We start from the raw sequence: 27,062 nt of genomic DNA, 5'->3' as shown, positions 1-27,062 counted from the left end.
GTCAATATTGGGATTGCTCCTTCTCATTCCTCCATGTGGCAGGACTTTTAAAGAGGAAAAAAGGACTGAGTTTAGAGTGCTGAAATAACAGCCCGATTATAATTTTTGTCAATTTACCACTTGGACGTTTATTCTCTCCTTCCCTATATATTCCAACTCCTTGCTCTTTTTGCATTGTAAAATATAGTATTTTTAGGATTATACACCATATGCTAATCTTTTACCCACTCTTCAGTATCACAACTTTCTTTCTCTGTGGGGAGGAAAAATCCCTGTCCCCTTTCTGTCTTCTTGCCTTTTGATTCTATTTGCCATAGTCTAATTGACACCCCAAGGTCATCAGCCCCTGCCTTTGTGCTAGGACACGCAAACCACCCAGGCCAATCCCTAACCTGTTTTTTCAAAAAACCTCCAATCAGAGAGAATCCACGACTTCCTTTTGTGAACTGTTGCACCGTGCAATTGCACACTATAAATGTCTTTCCTTATCTGTGTGTACTCTTATCTCACTGTTCTATTTTTTCTCCTCATTTATATTAACTCTTTCTTACCTTTTTTTCTGAACTTCTAGGCCTTCTCTTTCCAGAACTGGTGGAAGACAAATGAAACGGCCAAGATGGTAAGGTGAGTAGTTCCTGGGAACGCTTGTGCTCTAACCCCAAGTTATGTGGGATGGACACTCGAGGGGTGATGGCATTCCTCATTTTACAAGTTACTTGCTTGGCTGCGGCTGCTCCACCAAGATAGCAAACATTCTCGATCTTTTGAACTTCATGAGACTGACATTTCTGAGTCTGTTTGCGAACAGGACACTAGAGGGCTCCCAGGGGTTAAAAATAAGTGGAAATTTATTTGAATGAAAACTGATTCTCTACGGCATTTCTTTTTTCCGAATTTAAAATTAAAGTTTATTTTGTTAACTATTGTTTTTAAAAGCTTTGTATCTCTTAAAACCATGCAGCAGTCAGTTTCCAAGTTTTGCTTTGCAATCAGTAGTTTTCAAGGGAGCTTTTAAAGCTGAACTGAAATGTTTGAAATGTGGAACACTCTTGACCATGAAATATGTTCTACTTACATGCCTCAGCCTTTAAAAGTTCTTTGCATTAGAGTCAAGGATTACATTCTTCCTGGAGCCAAGCATGGGGCCAGCTGTGTAAGTAAGGTTGCTTACGAGTTTCTTCTTTTTCTTTTTAATAGTGAAAAAACAGAACTAGAGATGCTTTTATTTTCTTTCAGCTGACTTCGGTGGAAAGAAAAGAAATAAAAAGCAGTCAGAGTTGTGTTGTGTTGTGTGTGTGTATGTGTGTGAGAGAGAGAGAAAGAGAGAGAGAGAGAGAAACAGAATAAATGCAACTGCTTCCAAGATATATGGACATTTATGGCTTTGTATTATACTAACAATGTAAGCTAATGGAACATATTATTAATATGAAGTACAATTTGTACCTTTAGACTAAGAGAATATGTTTCTAAATTTTATTGTTAATACTTGCTGCTTGTACTTAGTTAATTCAGGACTTTAAAAAATAAAAATGGTATAGGTATAGAGTATTAAAAAATTATCTATTACTTGTCTTAAGTTCTTTCTGAATTTCAAAAAGGAAAAGCCCAGGTTTGTCACATTTTAACGCTTTTGCTTCAGAGTCAACTTAAATGACTCTAGGTACAAGTTATAAAACACTCTTGGATTTTTGTGGCTTGTTTTCACTACTTTCAAGTGACTATCAAATCTATACATCTATCTCGTTTGCATGCTTTTAAATTTTATTTTTAAAAACATTTAGTGGTGATATTTATGAAAGGAAATGATTACTTTTTTTCTTGACTCTTGTAGAGGAACTTAAATGGTTTGAAATTGTGACTCAGTTAACTCTGTATCCATTCATTCCCAGAAACAAGCCGCATTTCTCCTTGGGGAGACTGATAATTTAAAAGGTTTGTTGTGTCAGAAACATTCCCAGCTTCATCACCAACCCTTTCCTTCCACCTCTGCCCACTGGAGACCACTTATATCCCGAAGCGGACGCGGCAGCTGAAGTCAGGAAACCATGCATCACATTAGCAGGAGCCAACTGCAGACTTTAAACTCCGTTCAACATGTGGATGCGGCAGAGAAATGACCTGTCCAGACAAGCCGGGGCAGCTCATAAACTGGTTCATCTGCTCCCTGTGCGTCCCGCGGGTGCGTAAGCTCTGGAGCAGCCGGCGTCCAAGGACCCGGAGAAACCTTCTGCTGGGCACTGCGTGTGCCATCTACTTGGGCTTCCTGGTGAGCCAGGTGGGGAGGGCCTCTCTCCAGCATGGACAGGCGGCTGAGAAGGGGCCACATCGCAGCCGCGACACCGCCGAGCCATCCTTCCCTGAGATACCCCTGGATGGTACCCTGGCCCCTCCAGAGTCCCAGGGCAATGGGTCCACTCTGCAGCCCAATGTGGTGTACATTACCCTACGCTCCAAGCGCAGCAAGCCGGCCAATATCCGTGGCACCGTGAAGCCCAAGCGCAGGAAAAAGCATGCAGTGGCATCGGCTGCCCCAGGGCAGGAGGCTTTGGTCGGACCATCCCTTCAGCCGCAGGAAGCGGCAAGGGAAGCTGATGCTGTAGCACCTGGGTACGCTCAGGGAGCAAACCTGGTTAAGATTGGAGAGCGACCCTGGAGGTTGGTGCGGGGTCCGGGAGTGCGAGCCGGGGGCCCAGACTTCCTGCAGCCCAGCTCCAGGGAGAGCAACATTAGGATCTACAGCGAGAGCGCCCCCTCCTGGCTGAGCAAAGATGACATCCGAAGAATGCGACTCTTGGCGGACAGCGCAGTGGCAGGGCTCCGGCCTGTGTCCTCTAGGAGCGGAGCCCGTTTGCTGGTGCTGGAGGGGGGCGCACCTGGCGCTGTGCTCCGCTGTGGCCCTAGCCCCTGTGGGCTTCTCAAGCAGCCCTTGGACATGAGTGAGGTGTTTGCCTTCCACCTAGACAGGATCCTGGGGCTCAACAGGACCCTGCCGTCTGTGAGCAGGAAAGCAGAGTTCATCCAAGGTAACAGATTCACATGCTTCGTTATTTGCAGCTGTTGGGGATTCTGGTTCATTTTCTTTTTTCCCTCACTCTCTTTTTCTAAATGATTTTTCTCCACCCACGGTTCACATTTGGACAGCAGCAGCAGCAGCGTGTCTTTCCATGCGCTTGGCATTCTTTATTTTCCCAGCCTGGGAGGATATGAGAGTTCCAGGGAAATGCTGTATTGGACATGCAAGAGTAAGCCCATACTGTATAATCTTTGCTCTCCATTTCCCTCGCTTCACTTCCCAGTGGCTTATTAAATCTAATTAAAGCCAACGGCAATTTGCATGATGAGGAGAGGAAGCTAGGCTGGAGGCAAAGAACTTGCTGACAGTCAGGCATACTATTAAATAGGTTACTATGGGAGGAAGTAGAAGTTTTTAAAAGTAAGGGGGAAGCGGGTTATCGTTCTTGAGCAGATGGAATCTTCTTAAGCCGCGCAGAGCCAGACCATGTTAGGTTTAACCCCCCCTTTTTTTTTCAATGGATTTAACCTCTTTATTTAACAAATAAAAAGAATGAGCAAAAATTGGTGATTTGTTCAGTATGTATACTAACTAGCTGTGTGGTTTTATCAAGCCCCTGACTATGATCTATTGAGTCTGTCTTTCAAGATTCTCCCGTCTTGGGTGACAAACATTTTGGCAGGTTCTAACACATGTAGCCAGTTACTGCAGTTGCCAGCAAAAGGACTGGTCTGCGGTCATGCCCATGCCATATAAAGGATATTCTCTGAATATTAAAGCTATTCCAGGGCTCGAATACAAAGTACAGTGAGTCAGTGGCTTATGTTTGAATGCAGAATGATGCCAGAAGTTACAACTTTGAATCCAGATTGGCCCAAGAGGCTAAAATGTACCCCAAAGAGATTATAAGCTGAAAGGATACTTAACTTTCTCCATGTTACCATGAAATTTAGCATTTCAGTGAGGTTCCCAGGGAGCCTAGAATGGAATGGATTAAAATCCCTGGGAGTGGCTGAGACCCAACTGCATTTCCAATGGCTTTAGCATTATAATTTCATTTTAAAATGGATACCCCTGGAAGTACCAGTGATTTACTTAGAAAAATTGGACATTCCCTACTGATGGTGGTTCTTGTCTAAGTGCTCCAGATTCACAGGTATGCTTTGATGTCTCAAGTTTATAAAGCAGTCCACCACAGTTATGCCAATGTAAGAAACCTTCTCAAACATTTAATCTAATGTTGATAAAAATGAATTTTTATTGGGTGCCCACAATTTGCTAAGGATTATACAAATTGATTCATATGTGTTGGCTCCTAGAATTTTCATAACAATGCTATGAAGTGGGGACTATTATTATTTCCATTTAGTAGATGAGAAAATTGAGGCTTATTGAGACAAAGTAATTGGCCTCAACTCCCACAGCTAGTAGGTGGCTAAGCTGGGTTTTGACTATAGACCCAGCAAACTTCAGAACATAACTTCTTAGCCACTGGACTTAGGTGAATATGTAACTTATTATCCAAACTGGAACCGTGTGGCGTGAAAGGAGATGCTGGTGGGCATTGGGACAACAGGCCCACACTGACTGTTCTGAGCAGAGTAGAGCACAGGATCCCCCTTGTTATGCTGAAATCCCATTCATTTTCATGTCATAAAGGCCCCAGAGAGGAGAAGATGAACTCCTGTGTATATCCTGAGGCAGAGTTCTCTGATATGTCCTTTGAGCTTCCCTTAGACGCTCTTAGACTACTGTATTGGGAGAATGCAGTAGTGGCTAAGAGCCTGGGCCGTGGAGTTGGACTGACTAGGTTTGAACTTACCAATCATACGACTTGGAAATGTTGCCATGTCTCTTTATGCCTCAGTTTCCTCAGCTGTAAAATGACAATACTGCCTACCATATGAGATTGTTGTTAGTTAATACAGGGAAAACACTTAGAACCAGTATTTGCCACAAGATAAACCTTCAATAAATATTGGTTATTATTATTATTATTGTACCAAGCACATGAGGTACCAAGTTCATTGAATTCCTCACATAATCTCCAAGTCTCATGTGTTACTTCGTTACGTGATAGGACTATGACTAAAACTGCTCAATTAAACTTTTGTAATCCCAATCCCTCTTAGATATTTAATTCTTTGCTCTGAATTTCCAGCATCTTTGAGAACAAAAATTCATTTGAAGGCGGGGTTTATGATCTCAATATAGCCTGGATATTTCTCTCTCCTTTCATATGGTAGTGGTGATGGAAATAAACTAATAAAGCTATACTAATATGACTCAATTTAATAAATAAAATCCCTAAGATTATATCTCAAACAACATTCTGTCTTTGATACCTTCTTCTACTTAGTCATTTAGAGTCACAAAGTCAGGCCAGTTTCTCCAGGGGCTCATGAAATGATTTCATATAGTTATGAATACTCTACACAATGTAATTCTACTCAAGCAGACTGTTACAGTGTTGCAAAGTACATAAATAGACCACTTCTGGTCATGGTATAGACAGCATTAGGTTCTCAGTATCTCTACCCATCCACCTATTTCTAGTCTTTTTCTCACTGTGTCTTTCTTCCCTGATTTCCACGGAAGCGTGTAGCTTTCTTCTAGGGCACTGCTATTCTGTTGGTCAGAGTTTGACTTTATTTGAGCCTTGCAGCCCACCCAGGGAGGCAACAGATCTTACCTAGTTACCCAGCATCTTTTTCAGCTTGCTCTATATCATTATATTATATAATACATATTTGTATTATAATCATTTATTTAATCATCTGTTCCTTCCCACTACTCTCTAGGTCAGTGAAGGCAAAGATACTTCCTGTTTTCTTTAGAATTGCATTTCTGGATCTTAGCAGAGAGTCTGGCCCATAGTAGATGCTCAATAAATATTTTGAATGAATGAAGGAATGCGTTCATTGCTTGTTCCTTGGACTCTAAACAGTAAAACTATACTGGAAGCCACCAGCTTCTAATACTTAGGACGTGTAATAACATTTTTAGTCTTAAGTCCAGGCTGGGCTTTCTCCTGGAGGATCTCATAAGGAATTCATTGTGGAGGTAATAAAAAATGTTTTTGGTAGCCTCCTTACAATGCAAATGAAAGGTTTACAGGGCTTATTCTTGTGAGAACTATCAGTGTGGTGTGTTGGCATCACACTCTAGTGTAATTCGATAATGAGTTTTCTGCAGGAGGAACAATAGGATTTAATTTAGGTATATATTTCTCTGATGACCTGGCTTGGTCTGGGAGTAGATCTTTTAATATTTGAGAGAGTGAGAAGCCAGCAAAGCCTGTAAGTAATCTACCCTAAATGTTGTTTCTGTTCTGACTTTTGATTAATGTTTATAAAAATAAATTTATATCTGGCACCAAGAAAGTGGTTAGTCTGTGTTGCAAGTTGAATTTAGATATTTAAGTTGTCTTAGTTAATTTTTCTGAGAATCCTATGCAGTAGACTTTTTAAACCTCATTTTAGAGATGAAAGAAAGGCAAGAAGACTGCTCAAGGTCATGTGATGAGTTAGTTGTCCAGCAAAAATTTTTGTCTTCTAACTTCCAGTCTTTTCTCTTTTCATAAATCTGCGTCCCTCAACAAATCCTTTAGGGGGCCCTAAGGTACATCGTCTTTCTCTATCACCACAGCCTACTAGAAAGTTTAGTTATAAATAACTAAATATATAAATATAATGAAACAGATGACTTATACACTGATGCACAGATATAGCCATGGGAACCTCCTTTTTTTCCTCAAGGAGACAAAAAAACCTTAACCATGGCTAAGAGTTATTGAGTTTTCCTAGATATATATACCAGGTACCATTCTAAGTACTGTGCTTGCATTATTTCATTAAATCCTCATACAAATTCTACCAGCTGCACCCAGATGTCATTATGCCTGGGGACTCTTACAAACATTTAACAAATATGGAAGTTGAGGCCCAAAGTAATTATGAAATGGATATGTGATGTGAAAAGGGAGGTGTAAGAAGGAATCAAATGCTGTGATTTGAATGATCTGCCTGCCCCAGCCTTTCAGATAAAGCTCTCTGTTGATTTAATCAAATGACAAAGAGTTCCAATTATAAAGCTCATCTTTAGGTTTTTTCTAAATTGGCAGGACTGGTGTGGGTGATCCAATCAGCTAGCTCAGTTTAATCTGGGACAAGATCTTGATTGTGTGACTTGATGAGTTCTAGATGATTCTTCTTAAATACAAAAAGATGTGTGAAATTAGTGGACTTACTGGTATTGTACTTTATAACAGACTATTTTCTGACAGGTTATGCTCCAAGATATCCTAGAAAATGAGAAGGGTGCACTTGAGGAAGGGCAAGATAGTAATTAATTAGGCAGAGCCAGCAGTGTGCCACAATATAAGATCCAGCAGTTACCACTGGAGCAGATTTTCGTCCTGTATGTTTCTGTGTAGGAAGTCTTAAAATGAATTAAAATATAGCATCAAAGGGCCTTAAAATGTTTGTGTGCAATAATGAAGTATTTTTCAATTGTGACAAAGAATCTAGTGTGATGTATCACATAGTATACACACTGTATTTGATGTGTGTTGTCTATTATACATACCTAACAATTTTACATAGCAGATATTACTCTTATTTTAAATAGGGGAATCCTGAGGCTCAGTGAGCTTATAAAATGTGCCCTACGTCACCTACCTAGAGAGCAATGAAATTGGAATTTGTGCCCAATTCTGTCTCTGACACTGAAGTTTCCTCACGTTGCTTCTGTTAACCCACACTACCTCACAAATATAACTTACTACAATTATGGGATAATGTCAAAAATGTGCAAATTTTAGCATGATGGTTTCTGATTTTACCACTATGCCAACATTTCTATTTAATTTCTTTTTTCTATTCAATAATCTAACATTGACAATATTTTTACTCAAGTGCAGTATTGATGTATCATTATGAACACTGCTACAAGTTTTTTTAATGCAAACCAAGGTGCCAGTGCTTACCAGATTTTCTTGTTTACCATAAACAATCACATGTGTATCAATGTGATGAACATATTTGTTTTCTGCCAAATTGTCCTTGCAAGAGTCTCAAATTATTATAAAAGTCACCAGATACTGTGTGGTCCTGATACATTTCGATAATTTAAAAAGTGAAAATATCCTAAAGTATTTATCTAGCATTAGACAAAGCAGACTATGTCCATGTAAAAATCAAGAAAATAAAAAAAGAGAAAACCAAGCACCGTTCTGTGATCTTTGATTTAGCAGCTTTGCCAGAGCTTCCCCTGTAGTCTGCACAGTAGTGTGAATGAATCTCGAGGGACACCATTTTGGTAGCATTTAAGCATTGTACTATTTTTCATGCCCAGCATGGAAGATGTATTATGTATGCTTTATTTTTAGGATGCTGTTTTATTGCCACAAAGCTGTCAGACTGAATTAAGGTAGCCTAGTTCCAAGAATTCTGTATGTCAATGCTGCTTAGTTGACAAACTGCAGGCACCCCACACACTTCCATTTAAATTCATTGTAGATCCCAAGTTGCTCACTGTTTTCCAACTTGTATTGCCTCTTCGTATTATAAAGTAGGAGAAATATATGGTATGTTTTTCACTCTCTTTTCAAGCCTATGTGAGCAGCACTGTGAGTTCTGGGTGAAAGTGCAGTTGCCGAGGCAGGGGGATGTCAGCTTTGCATTTTATATTGTTTCAGGCTTTCAGGTAAGGACACAGTCGTTTTGCAGGGAGTGTTGAGAATAACACAGATGTCCTCACAACTTGCGAACATACTGGCTTCCAAATCCTAGAAATCTTTGACATATAGGCAAACTTTCTGAAAATATTTATTTAGGAGTGTGTAATCATGTTTTATTTTTTAAAAAGTTGGATTGAAAGTATGTTGTGTTCTTCCTCAGAAAAGCCCTAAGGCTATTTCTTTATGAATCAAATTGAGCTGGTCAGCTTAATACATTCATTCATCAGTGAACAAAAGTTTACTGAGCCTCGGCTCTAAGCAGCGCTGTGCTCCAGTGTCCTCTTATTTGCTCACTACATAACTTCATAGGCAAACGGGGAACCGGGCAACCTTCTCTGCTGTGCTTCTGTAATTTGTCCTTGGTCCCACACTCTGCTGGGATAAAAGGGGTGATTAATGGTTACCACAGTACCCACAGCATAAAAGATGCATGTGCCTTAACTCCATGCAATCTATCGTCTTCTATAGGATCACATTTATCTTTTCTTCCTTTAACATGTATTTATTGAGCATCTACTATGTGCTAGCCACTATTCTAGTCACTGGGGCTGCATCAGTGAACAAAACGGTCAGGAATCTCTGCTCTCGTGGCACTGACACTAGAGGGCCATGTGTGAGTTCAGTGTTCTGGAGGAAATCTTCCAGTCACCGATGTGAGGATTCACTAAGAACCTTCCCAAGCTCAAGGAGGTGGGCTCTTCAGTGGGAGTGAATCTGCTGCTGTCTCTGAGTTGATGTAAGGACCACACAGGTGCAGGAGTGCTAGATAGCTCTTTTTACCTAAGTTAAAAAAGAATTGTTACAGTTCCAATGTGTTTGTAATCAATTCAATTCAGTAGCATTTTTATGTGTGAGGCACTGCCCCGGATACTAGGGAAAAGTGGTACAGTTTGTAATTTAAATAGCTTTGTGTTTGGGGGTGTGGACGGGCAATGTAGACTCCTTGCAGGTGAATTCTGATTCTGCCACTTGCTAGCTAGGTGACCTGGGATAAGTTACTTAATATTTTTGTGCTTTATATTTTATTAGCATAATAGGGATAATGACAATAAAAACAATGATGATAACATTACTTACCTTAGAGTTGTCATGAGAATGAAATGAGTTAATATGTATAAAATATAACATTGCTTAACGCATACTAACACTCTTTTTTTTTTTTTTTCTGAGACAGAGTCTTGCTCTGTCGTCCAGGCTGGAGTGCAGTGCTGTGATCTCAGCTCACTGCAACCTCTGCCTCCTGGGTTCGAGCAATTCTCTTGCCTCAGCCTCCTGAGTAACTGGGATTACAGGTGCCTGTCACCACGCCCGGCTAATCTTTGCATTTTTAGTAGAGACAGGGTTTCACCATGTTGGCTAGGCTGGTCTCAAACTCCTGACCTCGTGATCCACCTGCCTTGGTTTCCCAAAGTGCTGGGATTACAGGCGTGAGCCACTGTGCCCAGCTAACACTCTTGAGTGCTACCTTTTTCATACCATTTCTAAGCTGATGTAGCTCTTTATGATATGCTTCTTTAGATTTTCTTAGTTGGTTTATCCAGATTGATGTTTACTTGAGTAGAATAAATGGGCACCTAAAATTTTCATTTAAAGAAGGACCTTGGAGCTTATAGTGGATAATAACGAGATCTCTTATTTGTGGAGTGCTAGGCAGTTTGCATCCATTATCTTATTAAATGTCACAACAGTCCCCTACATCAGATAATCTTGTACACATTTCCTGAGGGGAAACTGAGGATGAAAGAATAATATATGTTCCCTGAAAGCCTACAGGTAGCGTGCAGTAGGGCTGGGATACAGACATGGGTCAAGAGGACTCAGCCTCATTCCTCAAAGCTGTGCCTTACTGCCTCCCGCTATCCCTTCACATCATGTGTGAGCGTCCAATGACTGTAGCATGGGGCTTTCCCAGTTAATCATCCATCCAGATTGCAACCACTTTTCCCATTGCCTTGTCGCCTGATCCCTGAATGTAGCCATGATGCCTAACTGTTCCCCTTTTCATGATAGTGATCTGGGGTCAGAAGGAGAGAGGCAGTAGTGTTTCCACCACCCCTATTTTCATCGTCCCAGTATATAAGAGATACATGGGAGTGGATAGTTGAGCACAAGCTGGACAGAATGAGGGCATCAAAACCTCTGCACATCCCTGTCTCTATGTCTCAAGTGTTTCTCTAATCCTTCCCAATTCGTATTGAGTGAAGACAGTGAAATTACACCTTACTAGGATGTCATGCCAGGCAAATTTTTATTCTGGGTCCATGGACCATTCCTTAGACTCTAAGAGCTATCCATGAACATTGGGGGATTCTGAAAAAATGCACTCAGAATTTTTGAGTGCTTGCTTTGTTCTAGACACTGCATCAAAAGTTGGAGATCCAGAGGACTAAGAAGTAGTCTCTGTTCTTCAGAGCTCTCAGCTTGGAAGACAGGAGACAGTGAAGCAAACCTACCTTACAAAAAATGTGTGATAAAAACCTCAATGGAGATATTTTTAGGAGGCCCTGTAGGCACAGAGAGGGAGAATTTAACCTAGAATGTGTATGTAGGGGGTTGAGTGGGAAATTATAAATACTTTTGGAAGAAGTAATGCCAGAACTGGTTCTTAAAAGTCACTGTGGGTGGTGTGAGAGATGGGATGGGTGCAGAAAGTATAGAGAGAATAGACTATGAAAAACGTGTGAAAGCAGAGTGTGTTCAGGAAATTGCAAATAGTTCGGAAAAACAACAGATTAGGGTTTAGGGGCACGATGTGAGTTAAGCTGTGGTAAGTGGAGAGTGAGTGTGTTTTATGTCCTGCAAGGAGCCTGGACTTTATCTTGCAGAAAATAGGGAGTCGCTGAAGGGTTTGAAGAAAGGGAGTGATGTCATGGGCTTTGCACTGTAAGAAGTAAGAAGATCACTGAGGTCAGGAATTCGTGGCTCCTTTAACTGGATTAACAAAGGCTAAATCGCCCAGGACTGAGTCACCCTGATGTGACCAAGATTTCATCTGCAAAATGTGATTGTAGAGTCTGGCACAGTGACCACATCATCACCACCCTCTGAAGTCAAATTTGATTCCTGTTTTTTAAAGTGGAATATTGAGACAGGAAGAGTCTTGGAGTTTCCATTTATACAGCAGAAGTTCAGGGCAGACCTAGAAAGCAGAAGTTCCTGCCCATTTGTCAGAACAAAGAAGAATGCCTTGTTTTCAGAGGAGAACTGGCGATTTAAGTTGTTTAGGTAGTTGGTGATGAATGAAGTCACAAGACATTCTCCTTTCCTGCTTCCTTGACTTCACACTTAGCTAACTCCTGAGGAAGTATGGAGATTATTTTAACTCAGTTAGGCCTAGAGAAAACAAACTATGAAGTGAAAAACAGTTAGATAAATAAATATATGAAACATATTTGGAATCACGCAGAGACCTGTTTCTTTTTTATTATTTAATTTAATTTTAAGTTGAAAAATAATATTTGTATATGTTTATGGGCACAATGTGATTATTTGATATATGTTTACAATGTGGAATTATTAAATTAGGCTAATTTAAAAATCCATCACCTTACTTATTTTTTTAAATTTAAATTTTAACTAATTTATTTTTTAGGCTTCTTCAAATCATAGGATGATTTTTTTTGGGTGAAACATTGTAAATATATTCTTTTAGTAATTTTGATATATACGTTATATTATTATTATAGTCACCATTCTGTGCAATAGATCACTAAAGCTTATCCCTCCTGTCTAACCGAAACTTTGTACCTGTTGATCAACACTTTTCCCATCTAACCCCCTCTCCCAGCCTCTGGTAGCCACCATTCTACTCTCTACTTTTGAGCTCAACTTTTTTAGATTCCACATATAAGAGAGGTCATGCAGTATTTGTCTTTCTGTGCCTGTATTATTTTGCTTAAAATAGTGTCATCCAGTTTCATCCATGTTGTCACAAATGACAGGATTTCTCCCTTTTTAAAGGGTGAATAATAGTACTCCATTATGTTTACGTAACAAAACACATTTTTCTTATCCATTTTCTGATGATGGACACCTAGGTTGCTTCCATATCTTAGCTATTATAAGTAGTGCTGCAGTGAACATGGGAGTGCAGACATCTCTTCGGCATACTGATTTCAATTCCTTTGGATAGATACCCAGAATTAGGATTACTGGATAGTATGGTAATTCTATTTTTAGTTTCCTGAGAAACTTTCATACTGTTTCCCATCATGGCTGTATTAATGCATATTCCAACCAGCAGTGCTAAGGGTTCCCTTTTCTCCAAACCCTCACCAACACTTGTAATCTTTTTGTCTTTTTGATCATAGCCCTTCTAACAGGGGTGAAGTCATATCTTATTGTGGTTTTAATTTGCTCCAGGACAAGTCCCTAGATTCAGGACTTGTTTGGCCATATAAAATCTATGCCTATGTAATCTACAGACTCCTACCTCCCCACCTACTGTTTTTAAAAATCATGAAAACCTTATGGAGGTTTATTTCTTTTCGCATTAAAGTTTTCCTTCAATGCGTTGTTGACAGTTGTGATGGGGCCCAACAGAATTTGTTTCCTATAACAAAGATGCCACTCAAGTTTGACTGGCTTTTGTTTTCTTCAATGGGTATTATAGAGTTGTTTTTAATGAAGGACTGGAGCTGGACTGTCACTTGCTTTTTATCTTGTTCACAAGGAGTCTTGGAACATGGCCCGTGCAAGAGAAAGAACTTTTGATTTCAGAGCTCAAGACTTTTCTTCTTATTTTTGCTCAGTGACAAATGCTCACAGACATTCATAGCTCCACCCAACATGCTTAGCATTCACCTATAATTCCACAAAACCGCTCAGCCAGTGCTCAAAGTGAAGGGCATTTAATAAATCTAGACAAAGAAGATTGTGTAAAGCACTCATTCTAAGTGAATTTTCATGTTCATCTTCTCAGAAGAATGTCTTCTTTGTGCTTTTGAATAAAAAACGACTTGGGAGAGCACCAAATTCAGCGGAAATATTCAGATTTCAGAAAAAAAGAAGCTTTCCTGGCAAGTCTCATTTTTTAGGACAGCTATATAACCTTTAATTCACATGAACACCCACATATCTTTTAAAACCCGCTTTCTCACCACTGTGACAGAATTTTATCTCTTCACTTGTTGAGATTTCTCTAGAGAGTCCAGTACTGCATCATTTTGACAAACCTGAATGTGGAGAGATGAATGCTTCTCATCTCTGAAACACTTCAGGGTAAGTTGCTTTAACCAGTTTCCTGTTTTCAGAGGCAATTTTTCTGTCATCTCTTCAAATCCATCCAGGTTCATTTAATTCTTTCAAAAGCCTTATATTAAAAGAGGTGGAATTCTCCTCAACAGTAGTACTCATTGCTCTGAGATCTGGAGTTATGCTGACTGCTATTATTACCTGCAAGGGCCACACACACGTATATGTAGCAAGAAGGCCTGTATGTGGAAAGGAACCACAGCCATCTGTGACTCAGTCTGTCTTACTGCTCACCATGCTTTCTTCTTGTTCTCTGGAAATCCCCTTTCCTGAGGTGCACTGATTTCTAGCAGGGCAGGAAAGAATGTCTTTATGCGATAGTTGGCATTCAAAATATTTTGCTGAGGGGAAATGGATGAATTGGGAGAAAAACATAGGCTATTAATTGAAAACCAATTATACTTATCAGCTGAACACTTTATTTGGCAGTTTGAGGACACCTTTTTAATGATTAGTATAGAAAATGTATCATTCCAAAAATTTGGTGATCTAAAATAGAGAAATGGTGACTGACATACAGCATACCCATAAACTAAATTAGGGGTTAATGTATAGCCTGTAGGCCAAAAATGGCCCACTGCCCATTTTTATTTTGTGAACTAAAAATAGTCTCTATAATTTTAAATGATTGACAAAAATCAAAAGATTAGTGATATTGCTATAACCCTTGAGACTCATATGAAATTTAAGTTTCACCATACACAATAAAATGTTAATGGAATAGTTACAACCACTTGTTTATATATTGTCCATGACTGCTTTTGGGCTACACTGGAGTTGAACGGTTGCATAGTTGAATAGTTGTGATATTTTAGGCCCTCAAAACCTAAAATATTTACTCTCTGCCTTTTATAAAATTTGCTGATCACTGGGCTAGATTATTGCATTACAATTAAAGTGGTACTATTTAAAAATAATTAAACAAAATATTTATAGTATAATATTTAGTGAAATAATTATGACAAACTCTACATACAAGATGATCCCAAATAGCTTTTTTTCTTTGCATAATTTTTGCCTCTTTCTCCTGGTAGAAATGTAAGCTCCATGAAAGCAAAAAACTTGACATTTATCTGTTTATATATGTAGCTGCAGGTTCTAGAACAGTGCTTAGTGCACAGTAAATGCTCAAGAAATGGTAAAGGTCAGTTGAAGCCTGATGAATTATGTGATTATGTGATGTATATATGTAATAATCATCAGAGCAAAACCTTTCTGGGGCATGTGTTTATGTTAGGCACCATGCTGTGAATTTTAGAGGCACGATCTCATTTCTTCCTGATAAGGTCAGTTTTGAATGTATGTTGTTGCTTCATTTTACAGGTGAGAAAAACAAGGTTTAAAAAGGTTACATAACTTCTCTAACGTTACAAAATGAAGACATAATGTGACCAGATTTTGTTGGATTCCAGAGTCTGAGCTCTAACCATAAGTTATACTCCTTAAAAAAAATTCTAGAAGCAGTTTACCTATTCAGATGAGAAAGAAAGGGATAGAAAAATAACTGGAAGTAAATATACAAATAACAACCAATTACTGGGAGATGAGGTTATAGGTGATTTTTATTTTCTTAGCTATACATTTTTATGTTTTTCTATATTTCATGAAATGAGTGGATTTACCTTTAATTAGTTTTACAATTAGAAACAAATGTTTCTAAAGGGAAGAAAAACAGCCCAGCAGGTTTCAATTGTTTATGTAGATCAATTTCCATATTTCTCCAAAGGCCTTATATGAATTGCTGAGGAAACTGCTGTCCTTCTGACCCGCGTGTTGATTTGTGTTGAAGTTCACTGTTAGGTTTCAACTCCCTTTGATTACTTTCTAGCCCTGAGCATGCAAAGTGCTGTTTGTGTGCATATAACTTTGGTTCAAAGACACTAATAGAAAGAGCTTCTTGGTGTTTGTTTTTAGACGCCTGAAGTACACACGTTTGGAGGCTGTGTGTGTGTTTTCTATTTGTATTTGGTTATACTGGCCCAGTGCTGTCTTCCACAGCATGATGGATTGCTTTTACCTGGAATTTATTCTTTTAAAATAAATTGGCATGGTACTTGGGATATACACATTTAAAATTATCTGATATCTAAGAAGATAATTAGGCCCCAGGAACCCCAAATCATTTACTAAGGTAAAAAGACATTGGAAGGAGAGAGAGAGTGCTACAAATGAAGCTTTTTTGTTATGGCTCACATTTCTTTCTCTACTCTTCTCTTAGTTTTGTATCAATGATTGTGGCATATTTTCCATAATCCAATAGACTTTCCACATGCCCTGGCCTACATTGCAAGGCTAAAGGGAGAAAGATTTTTCTTTGAACAGAACTAGAATGCAAGTGATTAGAATGATTTAAGTGAATGCTATTCAAACTATTAAGGTTAGTATAACACCAAACTCAGGAGTGGTTTGAGAGGGGGACTGTTTCCTGTGTTAAAGACCGGAGATAAGAATTCTACAAGATGGCAAGACAGTAAGGTGGCAAAATAAAAGTTTCTAATAGGCCATAAAGTTATATATTGAGAACATGTAAGTTTCTAATAGGCCATAAAGTTATATATTGAGAACATGTAAGGCTATTTAAGAGAGGTTTTAAAAATTCCTGTGACAAGTCTGAACATTCTGGTTGTAATTTCAGAGGCCTCTGTTGTTCAGACGTGTTAAGAATGAGTTAAGTGGGCTTTATTGGATCTTTGTAATTTAGTTGTTTTTATCAGGCACATCATTCTGATTTTTGAGTTATAAGCAAAGTTGCTCCACACCATCTCTTTGTGACTTTATTGGGCAGAAATGGGGGCTTGGGAATGATGTTATTGGTTTTAAGCTTAAAGTGTTGTTTAATGTGTCTGGATCATGGTCTTCCTTGTTTATGATTATTTCACTGGGGCTCATAATTCTTTGTAAAGTTTAGCAATTAAAGAAATTACATTTCTAAACTTCCAAGAGTGAGACAAAACAAATTGAGTGACAGGTTAAAAAAGATCATCTATGAACATGCAGTTGAAAAACTGACATTTGCTTAAATGCACTTTGTTGAGGTTATGTGTGAATAAATGATCCCTTACCAAGAGCACTGTTGTGCTTGCACAGTTTCTATCAGGAAAGAAAAAAACCTCTTGCCTCTTTTTTTCTGTCTTTGGAGATTATAGTGATTGGTGTGAACCATACAATTTCACTTTTAAATTTGCGACTTCTAAAAATTCTTTTTCTTCCTGACATCATAATGTGGCCTCAGAAAATCAGACAGTTGTTATTACAAATAAAGAGCAGCTCCACTCAGACATTGAATAGACAATTATAAATGTCTAGATTCTTTCCCTTTTTGTGGTGGCTGCTTTTAGATGTGGAATAAAACCACATTAACCATAGGACGTTGTTATTGGTGCTTAGTAGCCTATTCCTGCCACATCTATAAAATATCTCGTTTAAATTTTTTTTCATTGTCTAACAATAACTTTCTGCTTTATGAGACTTCAAACAGGAAGCATTGAGGTATGAAAGTATTAAAACCAGAAGACAAAGAGATCATAAAATATTGTCAGATTAAACTCTCACATTTGATAGGTGAGCGTGAGACTGTGAAAGAGTGAACGACCTGCTCAAAGACACACCCTGAGTCAATAGTGTGCTGAAAGTGTGTTTGTTTTTCTGATTCTATAGATGGCCGCCCATGCCCCATCATTCTTTGGGATGCATCTTTATCTTCAGCAAGTAATGACACCCATTCTTCTGTTAAGCTCACCTGGGGAACTTATCAGCAGTTGCTGAAACAGAAATGCTGGCAGAATGGCCGAGTACCCAAGCCTGAATCGGGTTGTACTGAAATACATCATCATGAGTGGTCCAAGATGGCACTCTTTGATTTTTTGTTACAGGTAAGTTTATCAAATCAAGCAAATAGTTATCTAAGACTGGCGCTGAGTTATATTAGCCTGACACTAAGGAATGTTCAGCACCTGGAGTTTTTATGAAGCTGGTGATAACTTCTATTAGCTTGGTGCAAAAGTAATTGTGGTTTTGGCCATAATGGCCAAATGTAGATGAGGCCTCCAGGTAGCAGGCTTCAGAGAGAATACATTATAAATGTTTCTTATCAGACTTAAAGAGGTACCAGACTCTTAACCTCTCCTGGAGCAGGAAAAAGATCTGGAAAGGGAAGGGGATTCTCTACAGAATGTAGATTTTCCGCACAAGGGACAGCTTGGCAGGGCCATTTCAAAATATATCAAAGAAATACATCTTGGGGTAAAATACTTTGATTTCTTTCAGGGCCCACTGTCTGCCATGTTGGTATCTTATTGCTACAAAGAGAATCTGCTTTGTCGATCTTAAGTTCTGTTTTAATGTTAATGCCGGTCAACTGTGCCTGAATTCCAAAGGGAAGAATGTATAAGGAGGCATGCCCAACCACCCATTGCCATCATGGCCTGAACTAGTGTTCAGGTTTACTTTTATTTTTTAATTTTAATTTTTTTAAATTTCAATAGGTTTTGGGGGGACAGGTGGTGTTTTGTTACATGGGTACATTATTTAGCGGTGATTTCTGAGGTTTTGGTGTACCCATCAACTGATCAGTGTACACTGTACCCAATGTGTAGTCTTTTATCCCTCACTCTCCTCCCATTCTTTCCCCTGAGACCCCAAAGTCCATTGTATCATTCTTATGCCTTTGCATCCTCATAGCTTAGCTTCCACTTATGAGTGAGAACATACGATGTTTGGTTTTCCATTCCTGAGTTACTTCACTTAGAATAATGGTCTCCAATTTTATCCAGGTTGCTGCAAATGCCATTATTTCATACCTCTTTATGCATCAGTAGTATTCTATGGTATATATATACCACATTTTCTTTATCTACTTGATTGATGGGCATTTGGTCTGGTTGCATATTTTTGCAATTGCAAATTGTGCTGCTATAAACATGCATGTGCAAGTGTCTTTTTTGTATAATGACTTCTTTTCCTCTGGGTAGATACACAGTAGTGGGATTGCTGGATCAAAGGGTAGATCTACTTTTAGTTCTTTAAGGAATCTTCACACTGTTTCCCATAGTAGTTGTACTAGTTTACATTCCCACCAGCAGTGCAAAAGTGTTCCCTTTTCACCACATCCACGCCAACATCTGTTATTTTGTATTATGGCCATTCTTCCAGGAGTAAGGTGGTATCACATTGTGGTTTTGACTTGTATTTCCCTGATTATTAATGATGTTGAACATTTTTTCATATGTTTGTTGACCATTTGTATATCTTATGAGAATTATCTATTCATGTCCTTAGCCCACTTTTTGATGGGATGGTTTCTTTTTTTTTTTTTTTTCTTGCTGATTTGTTTGAGTTGCTTGTAGATTCTGGATATTAGTCCTTTGTCATGCATAGTTTGCAAAGATTTTCTCCCACTCTATGGGTGGTCAATTTACTCTGCTGATTATTTCTTTTGCTATGCAGAAGCCTTTTAATTTAATTAAGTTCTATCTATTTATCTTTTTTGTTGTTGTTGCTGCAATTTGCTTTTGGGTTCTTGGTCATGAAGCCTTTGCCTAAGCTGATGTCCAGGAAGGTTTTTCAGATGTTATCTTCTGGAATTTTTATGGTTTCAGATTCTATATTTAGGTCTTTCATCCATCTTGAGTTGATTTTTGTATAAGGTAAGAGATGAGGATACAGTTTCATTCTTCTACATGTGGCTTGCCAATTATCCCAACACCATTTGTTGAATAGGGTGTCCTTTACCCACTTTATGTTTTTGTTTGCTTTGTCGAAGATCAGTTGGCTGTAAGTATTTGACTTTATTTCTGGGTCCTCTATTCTGTTCCATTGGTCTATGTGCCTGTTTTTATACCAGTATCATATTGTTTTGGTGACTATAGCCTTATAGTACAGTTTGAAGTCAGGTAATGTGATGGCTCCAGATTTGTTCTTTTTGCTTAGTCCTGCTTTGACTGTGTGGACTCTGTTTTGGTTCTATGTGAATTTTAGGAGTCTTTTTTTCTAGTTCTGTGAAGAGTTATGGTGGTATTTTGATGGGAATTGCATTGAATTTGTAGATTGCTTTTAGCAGGATGGTCATTTTCACAATATTAAGTCTACCCATCCAAACTCACATTGGATGTGTTACCATTGGTTTGTGTCACCTATGATTTCTTTCAGCAGTGTTTTGTAGTTTTCCTTGTAAAGATCTTTTACCTACTTGGTTAAGCATATTCCTAAGTATTTTATTTTATTTTTTGCAGCTATTGTAAAAGGGGTTAAGTTCTTGATTTGATTCTCAGCTTGGTTGCTGTTGGTGTATAGCAGAGCTACTGATTTGTGTACATTAATTTTGTATCCCGAAGCTTTACTGAAGTCATTTATCAGTTCTAGAAGTTTTTTGGAGGAGTCTTTAGGGTTTTCTAGATATACAATTATATAATAGTGAACAGTGACAGTTTGACTTCCTCTTTACTGATTTGGATGTCCTTTATTTCTTTCTATTTTCTAATTGCTCTGGCTAGGATTTCCAGTATTATGTTGAATAGAAGTGGGGAAAGTGGGATCTTTGTCTTGTTCCAGTTTTCAGGGGGAATGTTTTTAACTTTTCCCCATTCAGTGTAATGTTGGCTGTGGGTTTATCATAGATGGCTTTTATTACCTTAAGGTACGTCCCTTCTATGCCAGTTTTGCTGTGGGTTTTAATCATAAATGGATGCTGGATTTTGTCAAATGATTTTTCTGCATCTGTTGAGATAATCATGTGGTTTTTGTTTTTAATTCTGTTTATGTGGTGTATCTCATTTATTGACTTGCTTGCATATGTTAAACCATCCTTGTATCCCTGGTATGAAACCACTTGATCATGGTGGATTATCTTTTTGGTATGCTGGATTGGTTTAGCTAGTATTTTGTTGAGGATTTTTGCATCTTTGCTCATCAGGGATATTGGTCTGTAGTTTCCTCTTTTTTTTTTGTTGTGTCCTTTCCTGGTTTTCCTATTGGGGTGATACTGACTTCATAGAATGATATAGGGATGATTCCTTCTTTCCCTATCTTATAGTGGAATAGTGTCATAGGATTGGTTACAATTCTTCTTTGAATGTCTGGTAGAATTCAGCTGTGAATCCATCTGGTTCTGGACTTTTTTGTTAGCAATTTTTTAATTACTGTATTAGTTAGGGTTCTCTAGAGGGACAGAACTAATACGTTTGATGTATATATGAAGAGTTTATTAAGGAGTATTGACTCACACAATCACAAGGTGAAGTCCCACAGTAGGCCGCCTGCAAGCTGAGGAACAAGGAAGCCAGTCCAAGTCCCCAAATCTCAAAAGCAAGGAAGTCGACAGTGCAGCATTCAGTCTGTGGCCAAAGGCCTGAGAGACCCTGGCAAACCACTGGTGTAAGTCCAAGACTCCAAAAGCTGAAGATCTTGGAATCTGATATTTGAGGGCAGGAACCATCCAGCATGGGAGAAAGATGAAGACTGGAAGATTCAGCAAGTCAGCTCCTTCCACCTTTTTTGCCTGCTTTATTCTAGCTGTGCTGGCAGCTAATTAGACGGTGCCCACCCAGATTGAGGGTGGGTCTGCCTCTCCCAGTCCACTGACTCAAATGTTAATCTCTTTGGCAACACCCTCACAGACACACTCAGGAACAATACTTTGCATCTTTCAATCCAATCAAGTTGACATTCAACATTAACCATCACAATTACCATTTGAATACTACTGCTTGTTATTGGTCTGTTCAGAGTTTGTATTTCTTCCTAGTTCAATCTAGGAGGGTTGTATATATCCAGGAATTTGTCCATCTCCTCTAGGTTTTGTAGTTTTGCGTGTAAAGGTGTTCATAGTAGCCTTGAATGATCTTTTCTGTTACTGTGGTATTGGTTGTAGATTGCCCCAGGCTTAGAGGTCAATTCAGTTGGTTGGGGGCTTAGAATTTTATTTTTGGTTCACATTATCCTGCAATAATCATACTCATCATAGCTACCATTTATTGAGGTATGAGGAATAGTCTTACCCCATTTGGGAGGTGAGTAAACTGAGGTTTGATGAGGTTAAGTATCTCACTCAAGTTCTTACAACCACTGAAGGCTGGAGCTGGGATTTGTTGGGATCTGTTGATGGTAAAGTGTCTTCTTTCCAACATTCCATACTGTGTTTCAATGGTCAGTTGGCCATGTAACTTATTTTCCTTATTTTCTTTCCAGTTAAATTTATCGCAAATTTTTCATGAAGATTCTGCATTAGAGAATAATAAATATTGATCATCTACATAATTGTGTGACTCCTCACATTTTATAAGGCTTTCTTATGACTCTTTTCTCCCTTTGATAAATATCTCAGGACTTTCTCCACCCCCTTATTCTGATTACTCCCTTTCCCTTCGCCCATTTTAGAAAAAAACTTTTCCGTTGTTGCATTGTTAACTAGTATCTTGTGGAAATTTAGGATGGCCTTAGAACATTTGGGAAACATTATCCTTTTGTTAGTTCATTATTTTATGAGTGTGAGTAGGAGGAAGAAATTGCAGAGGGACAAAAATGTAGGAAGAAAACCAGTTTAGCACAGAGTCACAGTCTACGAAATAGGAACTTTGATGGAGGAGAGAAGGATCTCTGATGTCAGTGGTGCAGAGACACCAGCAAGGACTGAACTGGGGAGTAAGACATTTGACTTGGCAAGGAGGTGGTCAGCAGCCACCAAGTTCTGCCTCCTTAAAGAGTGTTCAAGAGTCCTGCTATGGGGCTGTAACTGGTTTTAAGCATTATATATGCATTATCTCATTATTCCATTTTATTAATGTACTAGTTCTGTGAAGTAGGCATCCTTTCTCCATTTTATAGGTAGGACTGAAGCTCAGAGAAGTTATTATCAAGAACTATGAAGAGTCTGGGATTTTACTTTACTTGGAAGTTAACAAGGTAGTCTGCCACAGGTTGATAGACATTAGCAGAAGATATGAGACTCCTGGGTCAGAGACAAATGACTTTATTACTTATGATATAGTAGGTGGCATCAGTTTTATGCTCCCTTGCCTCTCAAGTTCTATTGGGGTGATAGAGTGGCCTTGGTGAATGCTTCAGATAGTGTGTTTATGTCACTGCTGAGAGACTCTAAGCTTAGGAAACCCCCCATTCTCTAAGGGGCTGCTAGTTAACCTGCCCAATATTTGCCTCAGATGGATACATTATCTTTATTATCTTTGTCAGGAAACAAATCTGCCCTTCATCTCAGAGGGAGATATTCTCTGGTGTGCTAACACTCTTAAAAATACATGCAGAGGCCGAGCGCGGTGGCTTACGCCTGTAATCCCAGCACTTTGGGAGGCCGAGGCGGGCAGATCACGAGGTCAGGAGATCGAGACCATCCTGGTTAACACGGTGAAACCCCGTCTCTACTAAAAATACAAAAAATTAGCCGGGCATGGTGGTGGACGCCTGTGGTGCCAGTTACTTGGGAGGCTGAGGCAGGAGAATGGCGTGAACCTGGGGAGGCGGAGCTTGCAGTGAGCCGAGATCGCGCCACTGCACTCCAAACTGGGCGACAGAGTGAGACTCCGTCTCAAAAAAAAAAAAAAAAAAAGCAGCATGCAGAACAAAATCTAAGATGTTGCCATGAAGAATTGTCTCTCAACAGTTATCTAACTTGTCCAATGTTACATAGTTAGTAAGTTCCTAAACAGAGGTATCATCAAATCTGGCTGATGGTGGATTCCATATTTTTAGCCATAGTTGTATAACTACTACCAAGTTATCCTTGGATTAATGAAACAAGTCAATATGATAAAATGTAATAGTAATAAAGTGGAGAATGAATGAAAGTACCTAGAGTGAAGTAGGTAAAAGTTCTCACTATGAGGTCAAATGTTTGGGGAGTGGTAAGCAGAGATACTGAAGTACCTGAGAATGATTAGGACAATGGAAAGTAAATTTTGAACCTGCCAGTGAAGTCTATGAGAATGGACCTTGAGGTTTGAAGCTGATAAACATAAGAGCTAACCTATTGTGAATAGAGAGCAAACCCTTATGTTCTCTAGTGACATGTATTTTAATTCTGAACCTGTCAACTAAATCTCATTCTACCCTACTGCCTTTATCATTTTCTTTTCTATTGAGGGAAGCTCCATTTATGCAACATCTATTGTGTGTTATAGTGAAGAAAACAACCACAATGGTAGCAAAGTAGTACAATGTGATTATCCTCACTGTCCCACTCTAAGTTTTTTAAAAACTATTTCATTAAGAAAATATAGTGCATGAAACGAATGATAGATCCAAGGATTGCTGGATGACATAATATAAGGTCTAATTTTTATGAGGTCAAAAGAGAAGAGCACTTTGCCATAAAATAGTGGAGGAAGAGTTTGAGTAGGATTGTAGGCTGTCAATGATAGAGAGGATAGGGAAAAGCATGAGTAAGAATATAAGATTGGTACTGTTCTTATAACATTCAGGGCATTCTAAATATACCATTTGAAGCAGAGAGTTCTTTGAGGGGAGTAGTAATGCTTGCTGCCTCTAAGAGATATGATTCCTCAACATAGAGGAAGAGAGATATTTCTCCAAAATGTCTGTTTACTTTGTAACTTTCTACTATTCATACATGTTCCTGACTGAGCAAGAACAAATTCCAGCTGATCCCCAGTCTTCTTCTGAGTGCATCTGCAGCTTTAATCATTATCTTGCCTATTGTCTGTGGTCTTGAGGACGAATCTGAACATGTGAAATCACTATTAGGAGTTTTCAACAAAAATAAATATTTCAAATCTCTTGCCCCCTCTGCCTGGGGTGGGAGGGCCTTTCTCTTTTTTGATGCTCCATAAGGTTGAGGTCTCTGCAAGACTTTACTAGAATTTACTCAAATTATAACACCAAGATTGGAGCTCTGGATTTTAGCTATGGCTAAAGCACAAAGCTAAAATCAGAAGTTAATCTGATTATTAGAAGTTAATTTGGTTAGTATTTACAAAAGTAATACTGTTTGTCAAATTATATATTCAGGGATAGCAATTGAGAGAGTGGACTTATGTATTTTGTTCATTCAATATTTATTTATTTCCCACAGTGCAAAATGTAAGAGGCTAATTTCTTGTAGGTGTTGTGGCATTTTACAAATTCAATAGTAAGGTATGAAATTACCTCTTTCCTTTTCTCTTACCAACTGTGGGAAGTGGAAAGCAAACTAATATTTTTGCTAATCTTGTAGATGTTGATGGGGTGTTATTTATATTTTTCAGTTTTTCATTTTGAGTGATATTGAGGATATTATATTTTCTTTCCCTTTTTTAAAATAGAGACAGGGTCTCGCTCTGTTCCCCAGGCTGGAGTGCAGTGGTGTGATCATAACTCACTGCAACCTCAGACTCTTGGGCTCAAGTGATCCTTCCACCTCAGCCTCCTGAGTAACTGGGACAACAGGCATATGCCACCACACTTTTTAAAACATTCAAAAAATTTTTTTAGAGACAGGTCTCATTATCGTGCCCAGTCTGGTTTCAAACTCCTGGGCTCAAGCGATCCACCCACCTCAGCCTCCCAAAATGCTGGGCTTGAGCCACCACACCCAGCCTCTATTTTCAAATATTTATTGATTATTTATATTTTACTTTCTGTGAATTGCTCATTCAAATCATTGTGCTTTTTTATTGCATTCTGTAGCTTTTTCTTATTGATTGGTAAAATGTTTTTGTATATCAAGAAAATTAACGTTTGTCAATCCTATGTCTTAAATAATTTTTCTTACTTTGTTGTTCTTCTTTTGACTTGGCTTACAGTAGATCTTACTCCAGAGGAGTTTTACTTGTTTTTAATAAAATCATATCTTGATTCTTTTACTTCCTGTATTCACCATCATACAAGTTTTTTTTTAATTTAAATTTAATTTTTTTTTTTTTTTGGGACAGAGTCACAGAGTCTTGCTCTGTTGCCTAGGCTGAAGTGTGTTGACATGATCATAGCTCACTGCAGCCTCAGTCTCCCAGCTCAAGTGATCATCTTGCCTCAGCCTCCTGAGTAGCTGGGACTATGGGTATGCACCACCATGCCTGGCTAACTTTTTGATTTTCAATAGAGACGGAGTCTCACTATGTGGCCCAGGCTGGTCTTACCAAACTCTGGAGCTCAAGTGATGTTCTTGCCTTGTCCTCTCAAAGTGTTGGGATTACAGGCATGAGTCACCGTGCCTGGCCATAAAATGCTTATAGAACAATATCAATCAAAAAAGTGTATTGAATAAATAAATAAATAAATGGACAAACTTAGGCCATTTTTCGTGAATGCCATAGTAAATAGTTATTATTATCTATACACTCTTTCTCATCAATTACACTGAAAATTTTATTTTAAATCAGAATAAATGCTTCATTTAAATGGTATTTAGGAATGTATTGGATGGATATTTGTGAGCAATCTTAGAAAAGTTATGCCTGAAGCAAACTAAAATCACTTGCTCTATGATGCCAGAGCCAGAGCAAGGGAATACAGAACCCAGTTGTTAATTTTCTGTACACAGCATTCTTTTTGTTTCACCCAGTTAACAGATCTACATTCACAAAGGCTATGCCATTTTACTGGGTCTGTAAAATGTGAGAGAAGCACAAATAATCTTTTATTCTTGAAACGTGGGGGTATAAACTGCCTAGACAAAAATTCACCTCCATTAGGATGACAAAGAGAAGTATTCTAGAGAGTGTTTGAGTCTCCAAGATTTGGTCAAACTTCTCTCAAAAGATTATATAAAATAACAGGAGCACATTCAGGAGGTAGAAAACTTGCTTTTTGACCAAAGAGACACTGTATTGTGTCACTGTATTGTATTGTGTTAGGAACTGGGACTCTGCAGTCAGTTACATTTCAGTCCCATTTCTGCTACTACTGATTTAACCTGAAGAAGTTGCTTGAACCTCTCTCTGCATTGGTGTCCTCATCTGTAAAATAGGAATAATAATGGTGCGTATATAGAGAGCTATTGAGATGATTAAATATTTTTATATACATAAAGCATTTAGAATGATGCCTAGTACATGGTAGGCACTCAATAAGTATTACTTATGAATTAAGCAACTGATCATCCAGAAA

At 38.6% G+C, this 27,062-nt stretch overlaps 1 protein-coding gene and 1 long non-coding RNA gene across 10 annotated transcripts in view, besides 2 other annotated features; one reads left to right on the top strand and one right to left on the bottom strand.

Moving 5' to 3' along the window:
* GASK1B-AS1 (GASK1B antisense RNA 1) overlaps nt 1–2,740 on the bottom strand; it is a 32,126-nt gene extending 29,386 nt beyond the window's left edge. For 3 of the 4 annotated variants that reach the window (NR_147408.1, NR_147410.1, NR_147409.1), the window contains exon 1: nt 2,012–2,740. This is a non-coding gene — a long non-coding RNA (GASK1B antisense RNA 1). Of the gene's footprint in view, nt 1–1,075; nt 1,241–2,011 lie in introns of all 4 variants that reach the window. The other variant, NR_147407.1, reaches the window with a different exon arrangement.
* Nucleotides 467–27,062, top strand: part of GASK1B (golgi associated kinase 1B) — a 48,552-nt gene continuing 21,956 nt past the window's right edge. Inside the window, exons 1-4 of one of the 6 annotated variants that reach the window (NM_001031700.3) lie at nt 467–624; nt 1,893–3,026; nt 3,145–3,245; nt 17,744–17,881. In NM_001031700.3, the coding sequence (NP_001026870.2) occupies nt 2,117–3,026; nt 3,145–3,245; nt 17,744–17,881 (1,149 nt within the window). In that variant the 5' untranslated portion in view covers nt 467–624; nt 1,893–2,116. Of the gene's footprint in view, nt 625–1,118; nt 1,158–1,892; nt 3,027–3,144; nt 3,246–17,666; nt 17,882–27,062 lie in introns of those variants that run through there. The other 5 variants (XM_047415765.1, XM_024454079.2, NM_001128424.2 and 2 more) reach the window with 5 other exon arrangements.
* Nucleotides 1,091–2,290: an enhancer, noted in NCBI's record as "BRD4-independent group 4 enhancer chr4:159092354-159093553 (GRCh37/hg19 assembly coordinates)". NCBI's record gives its function as "activates an origin of replication core promoter dependent on BRD2, P300/CBP, MED14 and CDK7 cofactors, and independent of BRD4, by STARR-seq in HCT116 cells {active_cell/tissue: HCT116}" and the evidence as "EXISTENCE:reporter gene assay evidence [ECO:0000049][PMID:35650434]".
* Nucleotides 2,464–2,984: an enhancer, noted in NCBI's record as "H3K27ac-H3K4me1 hESC enhancer chr4:159091660-159092180 (GRCh37/hg19 assembly coordinates)". NCBI's record gives its function as "activates a minimal SCP1, AML or CMV promoter by ChIP-STARR-seq in naive H9 embryonic stem cells {active_cell/tissue: H9 hESC(naive)}" and the evidence as "EXISTENCE:reporter gene assay evidence [ECO:0000049][PMID:30033119]".

Source organism: Homo sapiens, chromosome 4 (assembly GCF_000001405.40).
Source record: "Homo sapiens chromosome 4, GRCh38.p14 Primary Assembly".
Taxonomy (NCBI): Eukaryota; Metazoa; Chordata; class Mammalia; order Primates; family Hominidae; genus Homo; species Homo sapiens.
The sequence above is the reverse complement of the archived record's forward strand: the minus strand, read 5'-3'. Positions and strand labels throughout refer to the sequence as shown.